This window comes from Homo sapiens, chromosome 19 (assembly GCF_000001405.40).
Source record: "Homo sapiens chromosome 19, GRCh38.p14 Primary Assembly".
Taxonomy (NCBI): domain Eukaryota; kingdom Metazoa; phylum Chordata; class Mammalia; order Primates; family Hominidae; genus Homo; species Homo sapiens.
In genome coordinates this window covers 34,383,375-34,403,341 of record NC_000019.10, presented here as the reverse complement: position 1 = coordinate 34,403,341, position 19,967 = coordinate 34,383,375, and the positions used below count along the sequence as shown (strand labels likewise).

The 19,967-nt window shown below is 52.0% G+C and overlaps 1 protein-coding gene across 8 annotated transcripts in view; it reads right to left on the bottom strand.

Annotated features, from left to right (window-relative positions):
* The window catches only part of GPI (glucose-6-phosphate isomerase), a 42,696-nt gene continuing 23,657 nt past the window's right edge, over positions 929 to 19,967 (bottom strand). For 7 of the 8 annotated variants that reach the window (NM_001440422.1, NM_001289789.1, NM_001184722.1 and 4 more), the window contains 9 exons: positions 10,034 to 10,094; positions 9,571 to 9,614; positions 9,276 to 9,428; positions 6,912 to 7,041; positions 6,685 to 6,761; positions 4,007 to 4,135; positions 3,711 to 3,786; positions 3,557 to 3,623; positions 929 to 3,441 (listed from right to left, as the gene is read on the bottom strand). In NM_001440422.1, coding sequence (NP_001427351.1) covers positions 3,306 to 3,441; positions 3,557 to 3,623; positions 3,711 to 3,786; positions 4,007 to 4,135; positions 6,685 to 6,761; positions 6,912 to 7,041; positions 9,276 to 9,428; positions 9,571 to 9,614; positions 10,034 to 10,094 — 873 coding nt within the window. In that variant the 3' untranslated portion in view covers positions 929 to 3,305. The remainder of the gene's footprint in view (positions 3,442 to 3,556; positions 3,624 to 3,710; positions 3,787 to 4,006; positions 4,136 to 6,684; positions 6,762 to 6,911; positions 7,042 to 9,275; positions 9,429 to 9,570; positions 9,615 to 10,033; positions 10,095 to 19,967) is intronic. The other variant, NM_001329911.2, reaches the window with a different exon arrangement.

Sequence of the window (19,967 nt, the reverse complement as noted above, 5' to 3'; positions counted from 1 at the left end):
ACCTCAGGTGATCCGCCCACCTTGGCCTCCCAAAGTGCTGGGATTACAGGCGTGAGCCACCATGCCCGGCCTTTTTTGTATTTTTAGTAGAGACGGGGTTTCACCATGTTGGCCAGGCTGGTTTCGAGCTCCTGAAATCAAGTGATCTGCCCACCTCGGCCTCCCAAAGTGTTAGTATTACAGGTGTGAGCCACCGCGCCCAGCCACACAATACAGTTTTTTCAATTCCTGCAGCACAACATGGGTGAATTTCAAAAGCATCATGGGAAGAAGCCAGACACAAAAGGCGCCATTCTGGTAAACGCAGAACTTCGGAGGGAAAAAAATCAGTTCAATGGTAGTCAGGAGTTGGGATGAGGGAGTAGGACTGGACCACAAGTGTCAGGAACTTTTGAGGGTGAGGAAAATGCTGTATATCTCATCTGTAATGGTTCTAAGACTGTATATACACTTGTGAAAACTCATAACTGTATACCAAAGAAAGGTGAATCTTACTATATGTAAATCACACCCCAATAAACCTGACTTTTTAAAAATGCAGGCTGCAAAAACATTATTTTAGGATTCATAACGTGGTATGCAAAAGAAATGAATGTTTTCAAGGATTTACACCTCAAAGGAGGAAGCACCAGCCTTTGTGAGGTTTGGCTCTAGCCCAGCAAGGATCTGGAGATGAAACCCATTTACTCCTTTTTTTACCACACTTCATCCTGATAGCTTTAAAAGGCCCTGTGATGCTGGGCACAGTGGCTTGCGCCTGTAATCCCAACACTTTCGGAGGCCAAGGCAGGAGGATCTCTTAAGCCCAGGAGTTGAAGATAAGCCTGGGCAACACAGTAGTATTACCAGGGGAGGATCTTGACTACAAGTCGTCCAGGTTCTTGGAATATTGAACAAAGAGGTGGACAAAACACACAAAGCAACAAAAGAAGGAACAAAAGCACAGATTTATTGAAGCAAAAGTACATTCCAGAAAGCGGGATGAGGCTCAAGCAAGTGCCCTGTGTAGAAAATCTGGGGTTTAAGTACCCTTTAGAGGTTTCCTATTTGGTTACACCCTATGTAAATAAAGACTTGGCCTGCCACCAGTCAGAGGCTGAAGTGAATGCTCCTTTGTCTCCAGACCCTATTCTCTGGCCTCAGTGGGATCCTATCACTACAAAAATTTATTTTTTATTTTTCTTATTTTTTTTTTTTTACAACAGTACACTGATCTACAAAAATTTTAAAATGAGCCGGGCGCGGTGACTCACGCCTGTAATCCCAGCACTTTGGGAGGCCAAAGCAGGCGGATCATGAGGTCAGGAGATCAAGACCATCCTGGCTAACACGGTGAAACCCCGTCTCTACTAAAAATACAAAAAATTAGCCGGGTGTGGTGGCGGGCACCTGTAGTCCCAGCTACTCGGGAGGCTGAGGCAGGAGAATGGCGTGAAGCCGGGAGGTGGAGCTTGCAGTGAGCCGAGATCACACCACTGCACTCCAGCCTGGGCAACAAAGCAAGACTCTCAAAAAAGAAAAAAATTTTTTTTTAAATGAGCTGGGTGTACTGGCATGCATCTGCGGACCCAGCTACTTGGAAGGCTGAGGTGAGAAGATCACCTTAGCCTGGGAATTTGAGGCTTCAGTCAGCTATGATTGTATCACTGCAGTCCAGCCTGGGCAACAAAGACCCTGTCTCTAAGAAAAAAAAATTTTGAATAGGCTGGGTGTGGCGGCTCACGCCTGTAATCCCAGCACTGTGGGAGGCTGAGGTGGGAGATCTCTTGAGCCCTGGAATTCAAGACCAGTCTAGTCTGGGAAACACAGCAAGACCCGCCTTGCTGGGCGCGGTGGCTCACGCCTGTAATCCCAGCACTTTGGGAGGCTGAGGCGGGCGGATCACGAGGTCAGGAGATCGAGACCATCCTGACTAACACAGTGAGACACTGTCTCTGCTAAAAAAATATATAAAAAATTAGCCGGGCATGGTGGCAGGTGCCTGTACTCCCAGCTACACAGGAGTCTGAGGCAGGAGAATGGCGTGAACCTGGGAGGCGGAGCTTGCAATGAGCTGAGACCGTGCTACTGCACTCCAGCTTGGGCGACAGAGCGAGACTCCGTCTCAAAAAAAAAAAAGACCCGTCTCTCTACAAAAAATGAAAAAACTAGCAGGGCATAGTGGTACAACCTGTAGTCTCAACTACTTGGGAGGCTGAGGCAAGAGGATTACTGGCTGCAGTGAGCTGTGATCATGCCACTGCACTCCAGTCTGGGCAATGGAACAAGACCCTGTCTCAAAAAAAAAAAAAAGTTGTCAAAAAAAAAAAAAAAATGGGCCGGGCGTGGTGGCTCATACCTGTAATCCCAGCACTGTGGGAGGCTGAGGCGGGCAGATCACCTGAGGTCAGGAGTTCAAGACCAGCCTGCCCAACATGGTAAAACCCCTTCACTACTAAAAATACAAAAATTAGCTGGGTATGGTGGTGTGCGCCGTGTAATCCCAGCTACTCGGGAGGCTGAGGCAGGAGAATAGCTTGAACCCGGGAGGCGGAGGTTGCAGTGAGCCGAGATTGCACCACTGCACTCCAGTCTGGGTGACAGAGCGAGACTCAAAAAAAAAAAATTCCAGTTTTCAATATCTGCCTTTTAAAGCAAAAGAACTACCTGAGCGTCTTGCCAGGAGATGGCAGTCATCCTCGGTCTTGTCCAGGAATTCACCCGAAACAAACATAATCTCAATGCAGTTTTTAGAACCATCGAGTGAACAGAGTATCCAATTTCTGCAGTCACAGAGGTGAGGAGTGGAAAACAGTCTTGGGATTTGGTGACACAGGCCAAGTTGCCGTCCTGACTGATTGTGCCCCCACCCCACTATTGTCTTCTCAGGGCACCTTGCTCCACTCTAGACCCGCTCACCACTTAGTGTTAAGTGTCCGCAGAGGCACAGCCTGCGTCCTGCTGAGCGCTCCTGCCCTCTGCTACATAAAGCACCATCACAGGAAAAAAAAAATCAGAGGCTGAGCCTACAACCTCCTCCGTGGCATCTTTATTTTTCTACATGGGATGTGAACAACGTGAACATGGGTCAGAAAAGTCAGCTGCACAAAAACACTTCAGCCAATTCTAACACAGAGGGAGCATAGACATGGAGGGGCTGGGGGTTAGGCTGGGGGAGACCAGCCTTCCCTGCTAAGGGCTCGTGGTCCAAGCCCACAACCAGAGGGTGCTCTGGGTGGTGTCCAGGAACATGCAGTGCCGGCTCCGGGGAGGAGGGACGAGAAGAGAAAGGGGAGTCACAGAGGAGGCTGCAGATGAGCACGAGTTTATTGGACTCTGGCCTCGCGCTGCTGCTTGATGAAGTTGATGAGCCCATTGGTAGAAGCGTCGTGAGAGGTCACTTGAGCACTGCCATCAAGCTCAGGCTCTATTTTCTTAGCCAGCTGCTTTCCCAGCTCCACTCTGCCAAGAAGGGAAGGGAAGGGAAGAGTGGTATGAGGAAGGCTCTAACGTTGCTACTGAAATCCCTGAGCCGACACAAAGGTATTCCCGGCCCTCCCCTAAGTGAGCAACTCACCCCCACTGGTCAAAGCTGTTGATGTCCCAGATGATGCCCTGAACGAAGATCTTGTGCTCATACATGGCTGCAGAAGTGACAGACAGGGCACATCAGGGCTCCACAAGCCCATTCCAACCTACCCCAAGCCAGGACCTTTCCCCTACTCACTCACCGACCAAGGCTCCAAGCATGAATGGTGTGAGCTTGGTGAACACAATAGAGTTGGTTGGGCGATTTCCTTCAAAGACCTGCAGAAAACACCAAGGAATGTCTCCAAGAGAGTCCTGATCCCTAAACCCCTTGAAGGGAAGCACACCCTGCCCCAGAGGCTGAGACGTGCAGGTCTGTGAGGACAGGCCCTCCCATTCTGTAGGACAAGCCAGGCACGCCCCAAGCCCCTGCCTGGTGCCATAGCTTCACACCTCCAACTCCAGCATGCACCCCAAAGCCAAATGCAGAAGTGCTGACCTTATGTGGCAGCAGCCTCTCAAGGTCCTCTGGACTCTTGCCCGCAGCCTGGAGCTCCTTTCGGGCCTCCTCCGTCGATTTTCCCCTCATCAGGGCCTCTGTCTGGGCCAAGAAGTTGGCCAGGAGGATCTGATGAGCGAGACATCAGTTATGCTTGAGAGCACTGTCTGGGCTTCAGGCAGAGGGACAAGACCGCCTGGTACTTCTCAGCAGGGGTCAGTCCCAGCCTGGGTCACTCGCTGTACAGCTCAGTTGGAGCGAGGGGGACACATCCGATGACACCACAAGGCAGGGAACAGTGATAACTGCTCTTTAAGAACTACACACCAGTGGCCAGGCGCGGTGGCTCACGCCTGTAATCCCGACACTTTGGGAGGCCGAGGCGGATGGACCACGAGGTCAGGAGCTCGAGACCAGCCTGACCAACATGGTGAAACCCGTCTCTACTAAAAATACCAAAAAAAAATTTAGCTGGGCATGGTGGCGCATGCCTGTCATCAGGCAGGAGGCTGAGGCAGGAGAATCACCTGAACCTGGGAGGCAGAGGGTGCAGTGAGCCAAGATCACGCCACTGCACTCCAGCCTGGGCGACAGACCTAGACTCCATCTCAAAAAAAAAAAAAGAACTACACACCACTTGCTAGGGGTCCTGCTCACAATTTTACCAACATCTATCTTTTAAGATCCTAAGAAGGTAGCTGGGCGTGGTGGTGTGCAACTGTAATTCCAGCTACTCCGGAGGCTTAAGCACGAGAATCACTTGAACCCAGGAGGCTGAGGTTGCAGTGAGTCAAGGTCACACTACTGCACTCCAGCCGGGGCAACAAAGTGAAACGGTGTCTCGAAAAAAAAATAATACTAAGATCCTAAGGAGGAAAGGCATCATCGCCCTGTTCTAGTAGAGCCTTGGGTTCCACAAGTCCACAGTGCTGGATCACAGAACTATAGACAGGAACAATCAGAATTCAATCCAGCTCACTGACTCCCAAGATTGTGCTACCGTAACCCTGTGCTGCTCTGCACACCTGAGACAAAGCACAGTAAATTCTCTGAAGGAGTTCGAGGGCAGCTTGGGCAACATACTGAGACTCCATCTCTACAAAAAATAAAAATAAAAAAATCAGCTGGGTGTGGTGGCGTGTGCCTGTTCCCAGCTACTCAGGAGGCTGAGGTAGGAGGATTGCTTGAGCCCAGGAGGGTGAGGCTGCAGAGAGCCTGATTGTGCCACTGCACCCCAGCCTGGGCAACAGAGCAAGACTCTGTCTCTTTAAAAAAAAAAAAAAACTTAGCCAGGCATGTTGTACATCTGTGGTCCCAGCTACTCAGGAGGCTGAGATAAAAGGATTGCTTGAGCCCAGGAGTTCAAGGCTGTAGTGAGCTATGATTGGGCCAGTGCACTCCAGCCTCAGCAACAGAGTGACATGCTATCTCTAAAATAAAATAAATAAATAAAATAAACAAAAGGGGAGATTTTCCTGGATTATCTAGTAGCCCCAATCTAATCACACTGGCCCTTAAAAGTAAAAGAGGGCCAGGCACGGTAGCTCATGCCTGTAATCCCAAAACTTTGGGAGGCCGAGGCAGGAGAATCACTTGAGCCCAGGAGTTGGAGACCAGCCTAGGCAACATAGTGAAATCTGGCCTCTACAAAAAGTTTAACAGTTAGCCAGGCTGTTAGTGCCTGTAAGTGCCTGTAAGTGCCTGTTAGTGCCTGTAAGTCTCAGCTATTTGAGGGGCCGAGGCAGGAAGACTGCTTGAGCCTGGGACGTTGAGAATACAGTGAACTGTGATCATGCCACTGTAAGTCCAGCCTAGACAACACAGCATGACACTGTCACTTAGGGAACAAAAGCAAAATGTAGAAGAGGAAGGTAAACAAGTCAGAGAGATGCAACAGAAGTGGCAAGACAGAATCAAAGCTTCAGAGAAGGATTTAACCTGCCATTGCTGGTTCTGCAGTGAAGAGGCCCACAAGCTAGAGGATGCAGGTGACCTCTGAGAATCTGAGAACGACCTTCAGCCCACAGCAAGGAAGCTGGACTTCAGTTCCACAACCATAGAGAAATGAATTCTGCCAACCACCTGACAAGCAGGTCAAAGGCTTTTCCCCTAAGGTCTCCAGAAAGAAACACAGTCCTGATGACACCTTGATTTCAGCCTGCAAGACTCTAAGCAGAGACACATCAGGGCCTGCTGGATATTTGAGCTTCAGAAACTCTTCAGATAGCCCAGGAAGGTGGCTCATGCCTATAATCCCAGCACTTAGGGAGGCCGAGGCAGGTAGATTACTTGAGGTCATGAGTTCAAGACCAGCCTGGCCAACATAGTGAAACCCCCCCTTTACCAAAACTACAAAAATTAGCTGGCCATGGTGGTGAGTGCCAGTAGTCCCAGCTACTTGGGAGGCTGAGGCATAAGAATCACTTGAGGCCGGGAGGGGAAGGTTGCAGTGAGCCAAGATCGTGCCACTGCACTCCAGCCTGGGCGACAGAGCAAGACTCTGTCCCCCCTCCCCACCCCACAAAAGAAGAGTGTTGTTTTAAGCCTCCATGTTTGTTATCATTTGTTACGGCAGGAATAGAAAACTAACGTGATTGCCAACCAATGCACCAGGTTTTCAGAGGTCTGGGTGCAATGTGAGCCAGACCCCCCAGATGGGGCCAGATGGGGGCTCTTACCTTGTGATGCAGACCCTTCCGTATGGGGTGCTGGGTCTGGACCGGGATGAGGAAGTCACAGGGTATCATCTTGGTGCCTGTGAAGGGCACTGTGGTCACCCACATGACCCCAGCCCATGGGAGCTAGCCATATGGCCTAGAGGAGGGCACTGACCTAAGTGAGATATCTCTTCTGGAAGATCCTTTCCCTCCCCCAACATCACCCTTCCCAGGCCACAGGGGCCTACCTTGGTGGATGAGCTGGTAAAAAGCATGCTGGCCATTGGTCCCTGGCTCCCCCCACACAATGGGGCCTGTCTGGTGGTCCACACGGGTTCCAGATTTGGTGATGTATTTCCCATTGGACTCCATGTCGCCCTGGAAAAGGAACAGAAACCCAGTTCTTGGCAAAATGAAAGAACATTTAAAAAGAAAGAAAGAGGCTGAGCGCAGTGGCTCAAGCCTGTAATTCCAGCACTTTGGGAGGCCAAGGCAGGCGGATCACCTGAGGTTGGAAGTTTGAGACCAGCCTGATTAACATGGAGAAACCCTGTCTCTACTAAAAATACAAAATTAGCCAGGTGTGATGGCGCATGCCTGTAATCCCAGCTGCTTGGGAGGCTGAGGCAGGAGAATCGCTTGAACCCGGGAGGCGGAGGTTGTGGTGAGCCGAGATCATGCCACTGCACTCCAGACTGGGCAACAAGAGCAAAACTCCAACTCAAAAAAAAAGAAAAAAAAAAAAAAAGGAAAAGAAAGGAAAAGAAAGAAAAAAAACCCAACCCTCTTCCTGCAAGTCTTGATCCTTCACACACTGTACGCAAATCCTGCTCCTTCCTGCACCATGCCAAAGTCCTGCCCAGATGCTCCAGGCAGACCCACCCTGCCCTGACACCGTGAGGTGGACCTGCACACGTGTCCACAGGCACGATCCCCTTCCTCCCCACACCAGTGAGGACACAGCCTCCCAACCTTTCCTGCTTAAGCCACTGTGCAGGAAGGACTCATGCCCAGGAAAAGGTGGGTCTGGAGGTCAGGCAAGGACCTCCCTAAAGACAAAATCGGTCACAAAATCAGCTCATTTCTTAAGGGAGAGCAGGCTGGGGTCCAGAGTGCACAGCTTCTTTTTTTCCCAAAGAGACAGAGTCTCACTCTGTCACTCAGGCTGGAGTACAGTGGTAGAATCATTGCTCACTGAAGCCTCGACCTCTTGGGCTCAAGCAAGCCTCTTGCCTCAGCCTCCCAAGTAGCTGGGACTATAGGTGCCGCACCACCATGCCTGGCTACTGTTAGTTTTTGTGGGTTTTTTTTGTAGAGACCGGGCCTCACTACGTTGCCCAGGCTGGTCTTGAACTCCTGGGCTCAAGCAATTCCCCCCAGCCTCTGCCTCCCAAGGTGCTGGGATTGCAGGCATCAGCCACCATGCCTGGCTAAGAGTACAGCCTTTGAGGGCTGTCACCACAACTAAATGCTAGGCTTTGGGTACCCACCTGGGCCCTGGTCATGGCAACCCTCACCAAGGCAGCTGGGATTTGGGGAACCTTGGCCTCTCCTTCAGTCACAGGATTTGCTTCCAGGTGTTGGTGAAGCCTTCTGTACCTGCCCAGAGCAACTCAAGAGCTGCTGGACAGGGACTGGCTTTGTACTAAACAAAAGCAAGGATAGGGTTGGGCATGGTGGCTCATGCCTGTAATCCCAGCACTTTGGGAGGCCAAGGCAGGTGGATCGCTTGAGGCCAGGAGTTCGAAACCAGCCTGGGCAACATAGTGAAACCCCGTTTCCACTAAAAATACAAAAATTAGCCAGGCAAGGTGGTGCATGCCTGCAATCCCAGCTACTCGGGAGGCTGAGGCACAGGAATTGCTTGAACTCAGGAAGCGGAGGTTGCAATGAGCCGAGATCGCGCCACTGCACTCCTGCCTGGGAAACAGAGTGAGAATCTGTTCAAAAAAAAAAAAGCAGGGACAGGTGTGGAAAAGCTTTCTGGGACATAATGTGACTAGGAGAGGGCCTGCTAAGCCTCTCGGGGGGCTCTGGAGATCCCAAGGGAGAAGAGGGCCATGTAGTCCAAAGAGGCCACCACAGACTAGATACACACTTGCTTTTCTGGAGGGATAAAGGCAGTGCAGGCTATAAGGGATTCCAGCTTGCAGCCCCACCCTATGGCCAAATCCCACCTCCTCAGACATGGACAGACCCAGGTCCTCATACCTGTACCAGATCCTTCCTCCCCAGATACTAACAGACCTAGGGCCTCATACCAGGGCTAGATCCTACGTCCTCAGACACTATGGTAGGCATGCATAGTGATGTGCAAGAAAGAAGTGACCCCAGCTGAGAAACATCCCCTGAGTCAAGCCAGGACCTCCCTAGCCAGGGCACCATGATCACCAGTCATGCCCCTCCCATGGTGATCAAACTCAGATGACACTCAAATGGAACCAACCTCAGTTACAAAGATTCATCCTGAGACAAGGAGCACAGATGGACCTTGGCCAGGCCCAAGGGCAATGGGGCAAAGAGCTCCTGGAGGAGCTGAAACCCAGGTTCCTAGACCTCCCAGACCCCCCACAAATCTTGCTGACTCCAAGGCCTGGCTTGGCAGCTGGTACCTGCTGGAAGTACGCAGCAAAGCGGTGCAGGTACTGGTCATAGGGCAGCATGGCGTGTGTCTCACACCCAAAGCAGTTGATGTACCAGATACCCAGCAGGGCCAGCAAGACGGGGGCGTTCTTCTCCAGGGGCGTCGTGCGGAAGTGCTGGTCCTGAAACAGGAGCAGGATGAGTGGGAGCTGAGCAGCTGCACGGGGAGGGGAGGGACAGGACAGTGGGGGAGAAAGCGGGGGACCAGGACCAACACACGCGCCTCTGGCCAGCACTTGGCAGAGAACCAGCCTCAGCACTCACCATCCAGTGAGCCCCCGAGAGCAGCTGCTCGAAGTTGTCAAAACCTGTGACACAAAAGCAGAGTCAACAGAAGTGGCCACACCCTGCGTCCTGTGGGCAGTGGGCACAGCTCCTTCTGCAACGAAGGAAGGCTGCATGGAGAGCCAGAAGATACGACATGGGAGGACTCGGACCTAGACAAAGCCCCTCCAGTGAGAGGTGGCCCTGAGTGCAGGGATCTGACTCTGCCTAGGATAGGAGAGAAACAGGACTGCAGTTGTGAGGGGCAAAGACGGGGGCCAACTTGCACACGCAAAAAAACCCAGACCTTCCTTCTGGACATGAAATAAATATCCCAGCCAGCTGCAGAGAGGCCAGCAGCCTGTGAGGACAGCATGATGTTCAGGGACACAAGCCCCCTACCCCGACCTTAGACTGCAACACTGTCTCCCACAGGGGCTGCAAGACACAGAAACACACTCACCCACGTGCAGGGCAATGGAGAGTCCGATGGCCGACCACAGCGAGTAGCGTCCTCCCACCCACTAGGAGAGACAGGACAAGGTGCTGAGGGAGGGCCGGCACACCCCGCCCCCCACCTCCTGCCGGAAACCCTGTCCCTGGTCTTGCACAGGGGCGTCTCGGAGGGCCCTGGCCCAACCCACCTCCAGGAAGCAAGGCAGCAGGCAGGTGCTGGCAACACATGGGAAGACCAACAGGGCAGACTACAGATGACTGACCACAGCCACAAGACAAACTGAAGAGCTTACCGTGGTCTTCCCTGAGATGTCGGGCCCTGTCTCTGCAGACACCAGCAGACCCAGGACCTCATACCTGTGCCAGGGCCCACCTCCTCAGACACGGACACACCCAGGGCCTCATACCTGCGCCAGGGCCCACCTCCTCAGACACGGACAGACCCCAGGCCTCATACCTGTGCCAGGGCCCACCTCCTCAGACACGGACACACCCAGATCCTCATACTCATACCAGATCCTACCTCCTCAGATATGGACAGACCCAGGGTCTCACACCCATGCCCAGCCTCACCTCCCCAGACACTGGCAGACCCAAGGCCTCATACCTGCACACAGCTTCAACTCTTTAGACATGGTCAGACCCAGATGCTCATGCCTGTGCCAGATCCTACCTCCTCAGACATTGAAAAACCCAGATCCTCATACCTGTATGAGATCCTACCTCCTCAGATACTGACAGACCCAGATCCTCATACCAGGGCCAGATCCTACTTCTTCAGACACTAGAAGACACAGACCCTCCTACCAGGGACAGATCCTACCTCCTCAAATACTGACAAACCCAGATCCTCATACCAGGGCCAGATCCAACCACTTCAGACACTGACAGACTCAGGTCTTCATACCTGTATCAGATGCTACCTCCTCAGACATAGACCCAGATCCTAATACCTGTATCAGATCCTACTTCCTCAGATACAGAGACATGAAGATCCTCACACCTGTACCAGATTCCTAATTCCTCAGACACTGACACACACACAGATCCTCATACCTGTACCAGATTCCTACCTCTTCAGATATTGACAGACTCAGATCCTCATAAGGGGGCCAGATCCAACCTCCTCAGAAATTGACAGACTGAGATCTTCTTACTAGGGCCAGATCCTACCTCCTCAGAAACTGACAGATGCAGATCCTCTTACCAGTGCCAGATCCTACCTCCTCAGACATTAACAGACCCAGATCCTCACACCTGTACCAGATCCTACCTTCTCAGACATTGAAAGACCCAGATCCTTATACCTGCACCAGATCCTACCTCCTCAGACATGAACAGAACCAAATCCTCATACTCATGCCAGATCTTACCTCCAGACATGACAGACCCAGATCCTCATACCTGTACCAGATACTGCCTCCTCAGACATTGACAGACCCAGATCCTCATGCTTATGCCAGATCCTACCTCCTCAGTCACTGACAGAACCAGATTCTCATAATTAATACCAGATCCCACCTCCTCAGACACTAGAAGATCCAGATTCTCATACCTGTGCCAAATGCCACCTCCTCAGACACCCGAAGACCCAGATCCTCACAACTGTACCAGATCCTACCTCCTCAGATACTGACAGACCCAGATCCTCATACATGTACCAAATTCCCACCTCTTCAGAAATTGACAGACCCGGATCCTCATACCAGGGACACATCCTACCTGCTCAGACATGGACAGACCCGGATTCTCATACCAGGGCCAGATCCTACCTCCTCAGACATTGACAGACCCAGATCCTCATACCTATAAGAGATCGTACCTCCTAAGTCACTGGAAGACACATCTCCTCATTCCTGTACCAGATGGTAACTCCTCAGACTTTGACAGACGCAGATCCTCATACCTGTACCAGATTCCTACCTCCTCTGATATTGACAGACCCAGATCCTCATTCCTGTACCAGATGGTAACTCCTCAGACATGGACAGTCCTAGATCCTCATACCAGGGCCAGATCTTACCTCCTTAGACATGGACAGACCCAGATCCTCATACCAGGACCCGATCCCACCTCCTCAGATACTGATGGACACAGATCCTCATACTTGTACCCAGCCTCACTTCCCCAGACACTAGAAGACTCAGGGCTTCATACCTGTGCCAGATGCTATCTCCTCAGGCACTGGAAGCCCAAGGGCCTCAAACCTGAGTCCAAACTCACCTCCTCAAACACTGGAAGACGCAGATCCTCATATCTGTGCCAGGTGCTACCTCCTCAGACATGGAAGACCCATATCCTCATACCTGTGCCAGGTGCTACCTACTCAGACACGGGAAGACCCAGATCCTCATACCTGTGCCAGGTGCTACCTCCTCAGACACAGGAAGACCCAGATCCTCATACCTGTGCCAGGTGCTACCTCCTCAGACACGGGAAGACCCAGATACTCATACCTGTGCCAGGTGCTACCTCCTCAGACACTGGAAGACCCAGATTCTCATACCTGTGCCAGGTGCTACCTCCTCAGACATGGAAGACCCATATCCTCATACCTGTGCCAGATGCTACCTCCTCAAACATTGGGAAGACCCAGATCCTCATACCTGTGCCAGGTGCTACCTTCTCAGACACAGGAAGACCCAGATTTCATACCTGTACTAGATGTTACCTCCTCAGACACCAGCAGACCCAGGGCCTCATACCTGTAACCTGCTGTTATCTCCTCAGACACCAGCAGACCCAGGGCCTCATACTTGTACCAGATCCTACCTCCTCACACACTGGAAGACCCAGATGTCATACCTGTACTTAGCCCACCTCCTTGGATACCTCTTCCAGCACCACATACCTGTACCAGGCCCTACTTCCATAGACACTTGCAGACCCAGAGCCCCTTACCGGTGCCAGGACCCACCTTCTCAGTCTCATACTTGTGCCCAGGTATGCTTCCTTGGACAATGAAAGACCCAGCAGCTCTCTGCTACACTTGGCTAGGTCTCCTCAGATATTAAAAACCCACAGCTACATTTCTGTTCCCCAGCCCACCTGCTTGAACAGTGGCCCAGTGCCTCATACTTGTGCCAGGCCCCACATCCTCAGATACTGACAAACCCAGATCCTCACACCTGTGCCATTCTTTGTTGAACAATGAAGACTCATCACTTTGTACCTGTGCCCATTCCCAACTCCTCAGGTGGTACTGACAGATCCAGAACCTTAGACCTGTGCCTCACCCCACCTCCTGGACACTGACAGGCCCAGTGGGTCATATCTGGGCTTGACCGATCTTCTCGGCCTATCACCTAGGCCTATCATTCACACTGCACCTTCTCAAGCCACACCTGCAAGCTCCACTTGGTGCCATCAGAGTCCTCAGAACTTCACGGATGTCTTCCTAACAGCTGTTTATGGAGCACCTCCCACATTTCTAGCACAGGCAACGGACACAGAGTGTGGGAGAGAGACGTACATCAAATAATCATGCCAATAAATGTGAAACTGAGAAACAAGTGCTGAGGAGAAATTGGAACATGGTGCTGAGGCCACTTATAAAAGGAACCTGAGGGGTACTTGACCCTTGATCTCAAGAACGAGCAGGCATGACCCAGAGAAGCACTGAGGGAGCATTCCAGCAGCCATAACAGCACATGCAAAGGTCCCGTGGCCAAAGCAGTCTTTCTCAAGCGTGACAGAATTAAGGCCCACAGAAAATGATCTGAGTGACTTCTCAGTTCTCCCAAGGATGGTCCAAGACTAGTAACCTTCTAGACACGAAGGAGAGGTGCCCACTTATTACATCCAGTAGATGCCTTGGGCTGTGAGGGCTTAATTCTCTCCTGGAAGCCCACTGAGGCAGGGGGAAGCATAGCACCTTCCAGAGGATAAAGGAAGGGGTGGGGACCGCAGGGTGGAAGCTGAGAGGCACGGTGGGAGGACTGAGAACAGTCTGCGGCTAAGACAAGGACAGAAGCAAACAAGCCACTTTGAAGCCCCGGAGATGGACTGGGGAGTGCAGAGGACTCATTCTGGGAGCTCTCCAGTGTGGCCGAGAGGTTTCTGGCTTGGGCAATGAGATGACCGGTGGGGCCACTCACTTGGAAAGGCTCTGGGTTTCCGGGAACCTTACCTGACAGACGCAGTCCTACAGACTACATCATGCTTGACATAGGCTCTCACATCTCATCTAACAGATGCAGTTCTATTTTTTTCTTTTTTTTTTAAGAGACAGGGTCTTGCTCTGTTGCCCAGGTGGAGTGCAGTGGCATGATCACAGCTCACCGCAGCCTCAAACTCCTGGGCTCAAGTGATCCTCCCATCTCAGCCTCCCCAGTAGCTGGGACTACAGGCACACACCACCATGCTTGACTATTTTTTAAATTTTTTGTAGAGATGGGGTCTTGCTCTGTTGTCCAGGCAGGTTTTGAACACCTGGCCTCAGCCTCCCATCTCAGCCTCCCGAAGCTCAGGGATTACAGCCATGAGCCACCACACCCAGCCCAGACTCAGCTCTAGAAACTAAACTTCAGCACACAGCCAGCCCTCTGGCTGACAGAGTCCAGGCTGCTCACCTTGGCCGAGAACAGGTCCTCAGATCCCAGTTTTGTGACAGCCCAGCAATGCCAAGCAGTGTCTGACCTGAGCCTCCGAACCCTCAATCTGCAGACATGGGTCTCTAGACCTCACCTTTAAGTGCAGTGGCCTCTGAGACCATACATTATAGATGCAGCTCCTCAGTCAGTTCAATGTCCTGGGCCTAACCTGCCCCAGTGCCCCAGATCTCACCTTATCTAACCATCATCTACCTTTTTCCTCACTTTACTCACTTTCTTTTTTTTTGAGACAGGGTCTCTCACTCTGTCGCCCAGGCCTGAGTGTAGTGGCATGATCTCAGCTCACTGCAACCTCTGCCTGCCAGGTTCAAGCAATTCTCCTGCCTCAGCCTCCTGAGTAACTGGGATTACAGACATGTGCCACCATGCATGGCTAATTTTTGTATTTTTAGGAGATGGGGTTTCACCGTGTTGACCAGACTGGTCTCAAACTCCTGACCTCAAGTGATCCACCCACCTCGGCCTCCCAAAGTGCTGGGATGACAGGCGTGAGCCACTGCGCCTGGCAACTTTCCTCACTTTTAACTCAGACCCTGTGTCAACTGGAGCACAATGCCATCTTGGATGCAGACCAACACCATGGACTGGTTACAGATCCTCAGCCCTCTGTATTACCCTGAGCTCTGTCTATCATACCTGACCAGGGTGCTGAGAACAGATACCTGTCCCAGCTGATCTTTAGGGTTCCCTAGACATCACCAGGCAGACCCAGGTACAAACACCTACAATGACTACGGCTTTCCCTTGATATAAGAGCCCACACTACTCACCTAATTGTGTCTGACCCTACCACCGAAGGTCTCACCTGTGTCTGACCCACCTTCCCCAGGCCTGGCCAGCCTCACCATTATGCATTCCTGTGCTAGACCCCACCCACTTCACCTAACAAGCCCAGCAGTACTTTTGTGCTTGAACCCAGGTGTCAAGAACCCACCTGAGACCATGTTTATACAACCTCTGTGGAACTGAGCCTGGATCCACAGACTCACTGCTAATGTCAGGTCAACATACCAGCACTGAGCCTGAATCCACAGACTCAGTGCCAATGCTAGGTCAACATACCAGCACTGAGCCTGGATCCACAGACTCACTGACAACACCAGGTCAACATACCAGCACTGAGCCTGGATCCATGGACTCACTGCCAATGTCAGCTAAACATACCAGCACTGACCCTGGATCCACAGACTCACTGACAACACCAGGTCAACATGCCAGCACTGAGCCTGGATCCACAGACTCACGACAACACCAGGTAAACATACCACCATTGAGCCTGGATCCGTAGACTCACTGACACAACCAAGTAAATATACCAGCACTGAGCCTGGATCCACAGACTCACTGACATAATCAGGTAAACATACCAGCACTGAGCCTGCATCGGCAGACTCACTGACAACACCAGATAAACATACCAGCACTGAGCATCGATGCAATGGTTTCACCTGGGAGACCTAGTTCTGCCTATTTGTGTCCAACTCCAGTGCCTCAGGCTACAGAGTTATATACCTGTCAAAGATGGGTTCCAGACATCTCAGCTGATAGACCAGGCTTCACATAACCTGACCCCTCACACCTTGACTGACAGACCCGGTTCCCTTGCCTAAGCCCAACTCAGATTCCTTACAGCCTCCCAGGGTCCAGCTTTATTTATGTGAGCCTGGCCTCGGCAGTCCACATCCTGTGTCTGGCTTGGCTTTTCATGTCTCACAGACAGATCCAATGCTGCCAATCTCTGCTTAACGTCAGCACCAATGAGCTCACTGAGGAGCCTCAGACCTCATCAAATGGAACATCTCTGCCTACCTGTGCTCCCCAGCTGAGATGCGTAGTTCTACCAACTTGTGACTAACCCACTGTCCCCAGGCCTAAGACTGAGTCAGCACAACTAAGCCAGAACCACGCACCAATGACCTCACCTGCAAGACCCCAGCTGTATGTCTCTCTAGCTACAAAGTCCTTGCTTGAGAGAGATACATCTACCTACCCACGTCTAACTTAGGGGCCACAGACCTCCTAGGAAACCCACAATGTTCTGCCTGCCTGTAGAGACCCCCATGCTATGGGGTTGACCTGGGAGGCCGCTCTATACACCTAGGCTCAACTCTGGTTCTTCAGGCTTCACCTCAAACACCCAGGGGCACATTCCTGTGCCTGAATCCAACTCCTGAAAGAGCCAACTCTATCTACCTGCATTCAACCTAACTCCTCAGCTCTCCTTCAAGAGACTACTCCTGGCAGACCAGTTTTGTCTACCTGCCTGACCCTGGCTCCTCAGACCACACATGGTGGGCCAGCTCTGCCTACCTGTGCTTGACCCTGGGTTCTCAGACCACACCTGAAAGGCTATCTCTACCTACCTGTGCTTGAACCTGGGTTCTCAGACCACACGTGAAAGGCTATCTCTACCTACCTGTGCTTGAACCTGGGTTCTCAGACCACACCTGAAAGGCTATCTCTACATACCTGTGCTTGACCCTGGGTTCTCAGACCACACCTGAAAGGCTATCTCTACCTACCTGAGCTTTTCGCTGGGTTCTCAGACCACACCTAGTGACCCAGACTACCTACCTGTACTTGATCCTGGCTCTTCAGACCATACCTGGCAGGCAGCTCTACCTACCTGAGTCTGACCCTGGCTCCTCAGACCATACCTGGTGGGCCAGCTTTGCCTACCTGTGCTTACCCTGGCTCCTCAAACCACACCCAGTGGGCCAGCTCTACCTACCTGTAGTTGACCTTGGCTCCTTAAACCACACCTGAAAGACTATCTCTACCTACCTGTGTTTGACTCTGGCTCTTTGGAGTACACCTGGCATGCCAGATCTACCTACCTGAGCCTGATGTTGGCTCTTCAGATCATACTTGGTGGGCCAAGTCTGCCTACCTGTGCTCAATGCTGGCTCCTGGGCTTGTGCCTGGTGGACCAGCACCCCCTACCTGCATGTGATGAGGGTTCCTGAGCTTGTACCTTGTGGGCCAGCTCTGCCTACCTCTACTTCACACCTCAGCTGCTTACACCTCATCCAACACACTTGGTTCTTCTTACCTGGGCTTGACTATGACTTTTTAGGTCTCATGAACACACTCAGCTTTGTGAAGCTGCCCTGATCCTGGCTCCAAAGACCTTACCTGCCAAACCCTGTTCTACACACCTGTGTTTAACTCCCGTTCTTCAGACCTGATAGACCCGAAGATGTACCTGGGCCAGGCTCCAAAGACCTCACCCAAGAAACTCAATTCCACATACCTACATACCTGTACCTGGCCACAGCTCCTCAACCTCACCCAGGAGAAGAACTTCTACCCACCCATCTTTTTTCTTTTTTTTTTTTTTTTGTTTTTTGTTTGAGACAAAGTTTCACTCTTGTTGCCCAAGTTGAAGTGCAGTGGCATGATCTCGGCTCACTGCAAACCCCACCTCCCGGGTTCAAGCAATTCTCCTGCCTCAGCCTCCTGAGTAGCTGGGATTACAGGCGTGTGCCACCACACCCAGCTAATTTTTGTATTTTTTAGTAGAAATGGGGTTTCACCCCGTCACCATGTTGGCCAGGCTGGTCTTGAACTCCTGACCTCAGATGATCCACCCACCTTGGCCTCCCAAAGTGCTGGGATTACAGGCATGAGCCACCACACCCAACCCCCGCTTTTTTTTTTTTTTTTTTTTGGAGATAGTCTCACTGTCACCCAGGCTGGAGTGCAGTAGCACCATCTTGGCTCACTCTGCCTCCCCAGTTCAAGCAATTCTGGTGCCTCAGCCTCCCAAGTAGCTAGGACTGTAGGCATGCACCACCATGCCTGGCTAATTTTTGTAGTTTTAGTAGAGACGGGGTTTCGCTATGCTGGCCAGGCTGGTCTCGAGCTCTTGACTTCAACTGATCTGCCTGCCTTGGCCTTCCAAATTGCTGGGATTATAGGTGTGAGCCACTGTGCCTGGCCTACCCATCTGTCTTGACACCACCTGGGAAATCCAGACCTGCTCACTGTGCCAGATCCCAGCTCCTCAGACCTCCTGAGAGACCTGGCTCTATCCACCTGCCTTCACTTCATATCCTCAGAGGTCATCTACCACATCCAGGTCTTTCTAGATGAGCCTAATCCGGACTCCTTGGGCCTCACCTGATAGATCCGTTCTACCTGTGCCTGACCTCAACTGCAGGACAGTTTAATTGGTTTGACCATGGCTGTTCCGGTCAACCTATCTTTGCATGCTCCTGGTTTCATAGATGTCACCTGACAAACTCTACCCACCATGCTTAACACAGCTTCTCGGTCTTGGGATACAAACCAGAGCCTGACCTCAGTGGCTCAGACCTTAACCTGTGAGACCCAAAAATACATACCTGTGTCTCACCTTAACCCCTGAAACCTCGCCTGCTAGATCTGCTCTACGTACCTCGACCAGACCCAGGCTTCATCCACCTTTCTGATGGATGCGGTTCGTCATCCCTTTGTCTGACCCCATCCCTTTGTCTGGTCTCTTCCCAGGGGACCCAGGCTCACCCACCAGAGCTGCTCAGACATCGCCCAAGGACACAGCTCCAACCTGGACCCAATCACAGATTTTCAGCCCTCACTTGTCAGACCCAGCTCGACCTGTCTGCCTATCTTTAGCTCCAACGTCCTTACCAGACTGGTCCAGTTCTGCCTACCTGAGTACAGTCTTGGCTCCTCAGGCCTCCCCTAGAAACCCAGCCATACAAACCTGTCTGATTCCAGCTCCTAGGACCTCAGACAGACGCGGCTCTGAAAGGCTGCATTATACACACCTAACCTGAACAGACACTTTCCTCACACATGACAGATCCCTGGCTGCTGACCTCGGCCTGAGGGAGCCTGGTGAGAGCCCAGTGTTGACAAACACTGTCTGACTGGCTCAGCCTTGATGTCTGCCCTGTAGACCCAGGTCTCTGGCCCTTTACCCAACCTGAGCCACTCAGACCGCACCCACCCAGCACAGCTCCTCATGCCACCTGCCTGCCTCACCTGCCCCAGCTCCCCTGTCCTTGCCTCATATCACCAGGTACATTCCTACCTCTCCCGCATCTGGGCTCTGCAGACCCTGATGCCACAGACTTGGACTTCAGTCACAAATTCTCAGAGGCCTCTGACGCCCTGAGCTCTGCCCATCACACCCAGTCAGGATGCTGAGAAGCAGGTGCTGACCTGTGTGTCCCTAATCCTGGGTTCTAAACTTGTGCAATCAGCCACCCACTACCTGATCCTCACTTTTCGGAACCGGCCAGAGATCCCAGCGTGCACACCTGTCCCATGCCATAGGTCTACACCACCTCCCACAGAGCCCGGCTGACATATGCACATACA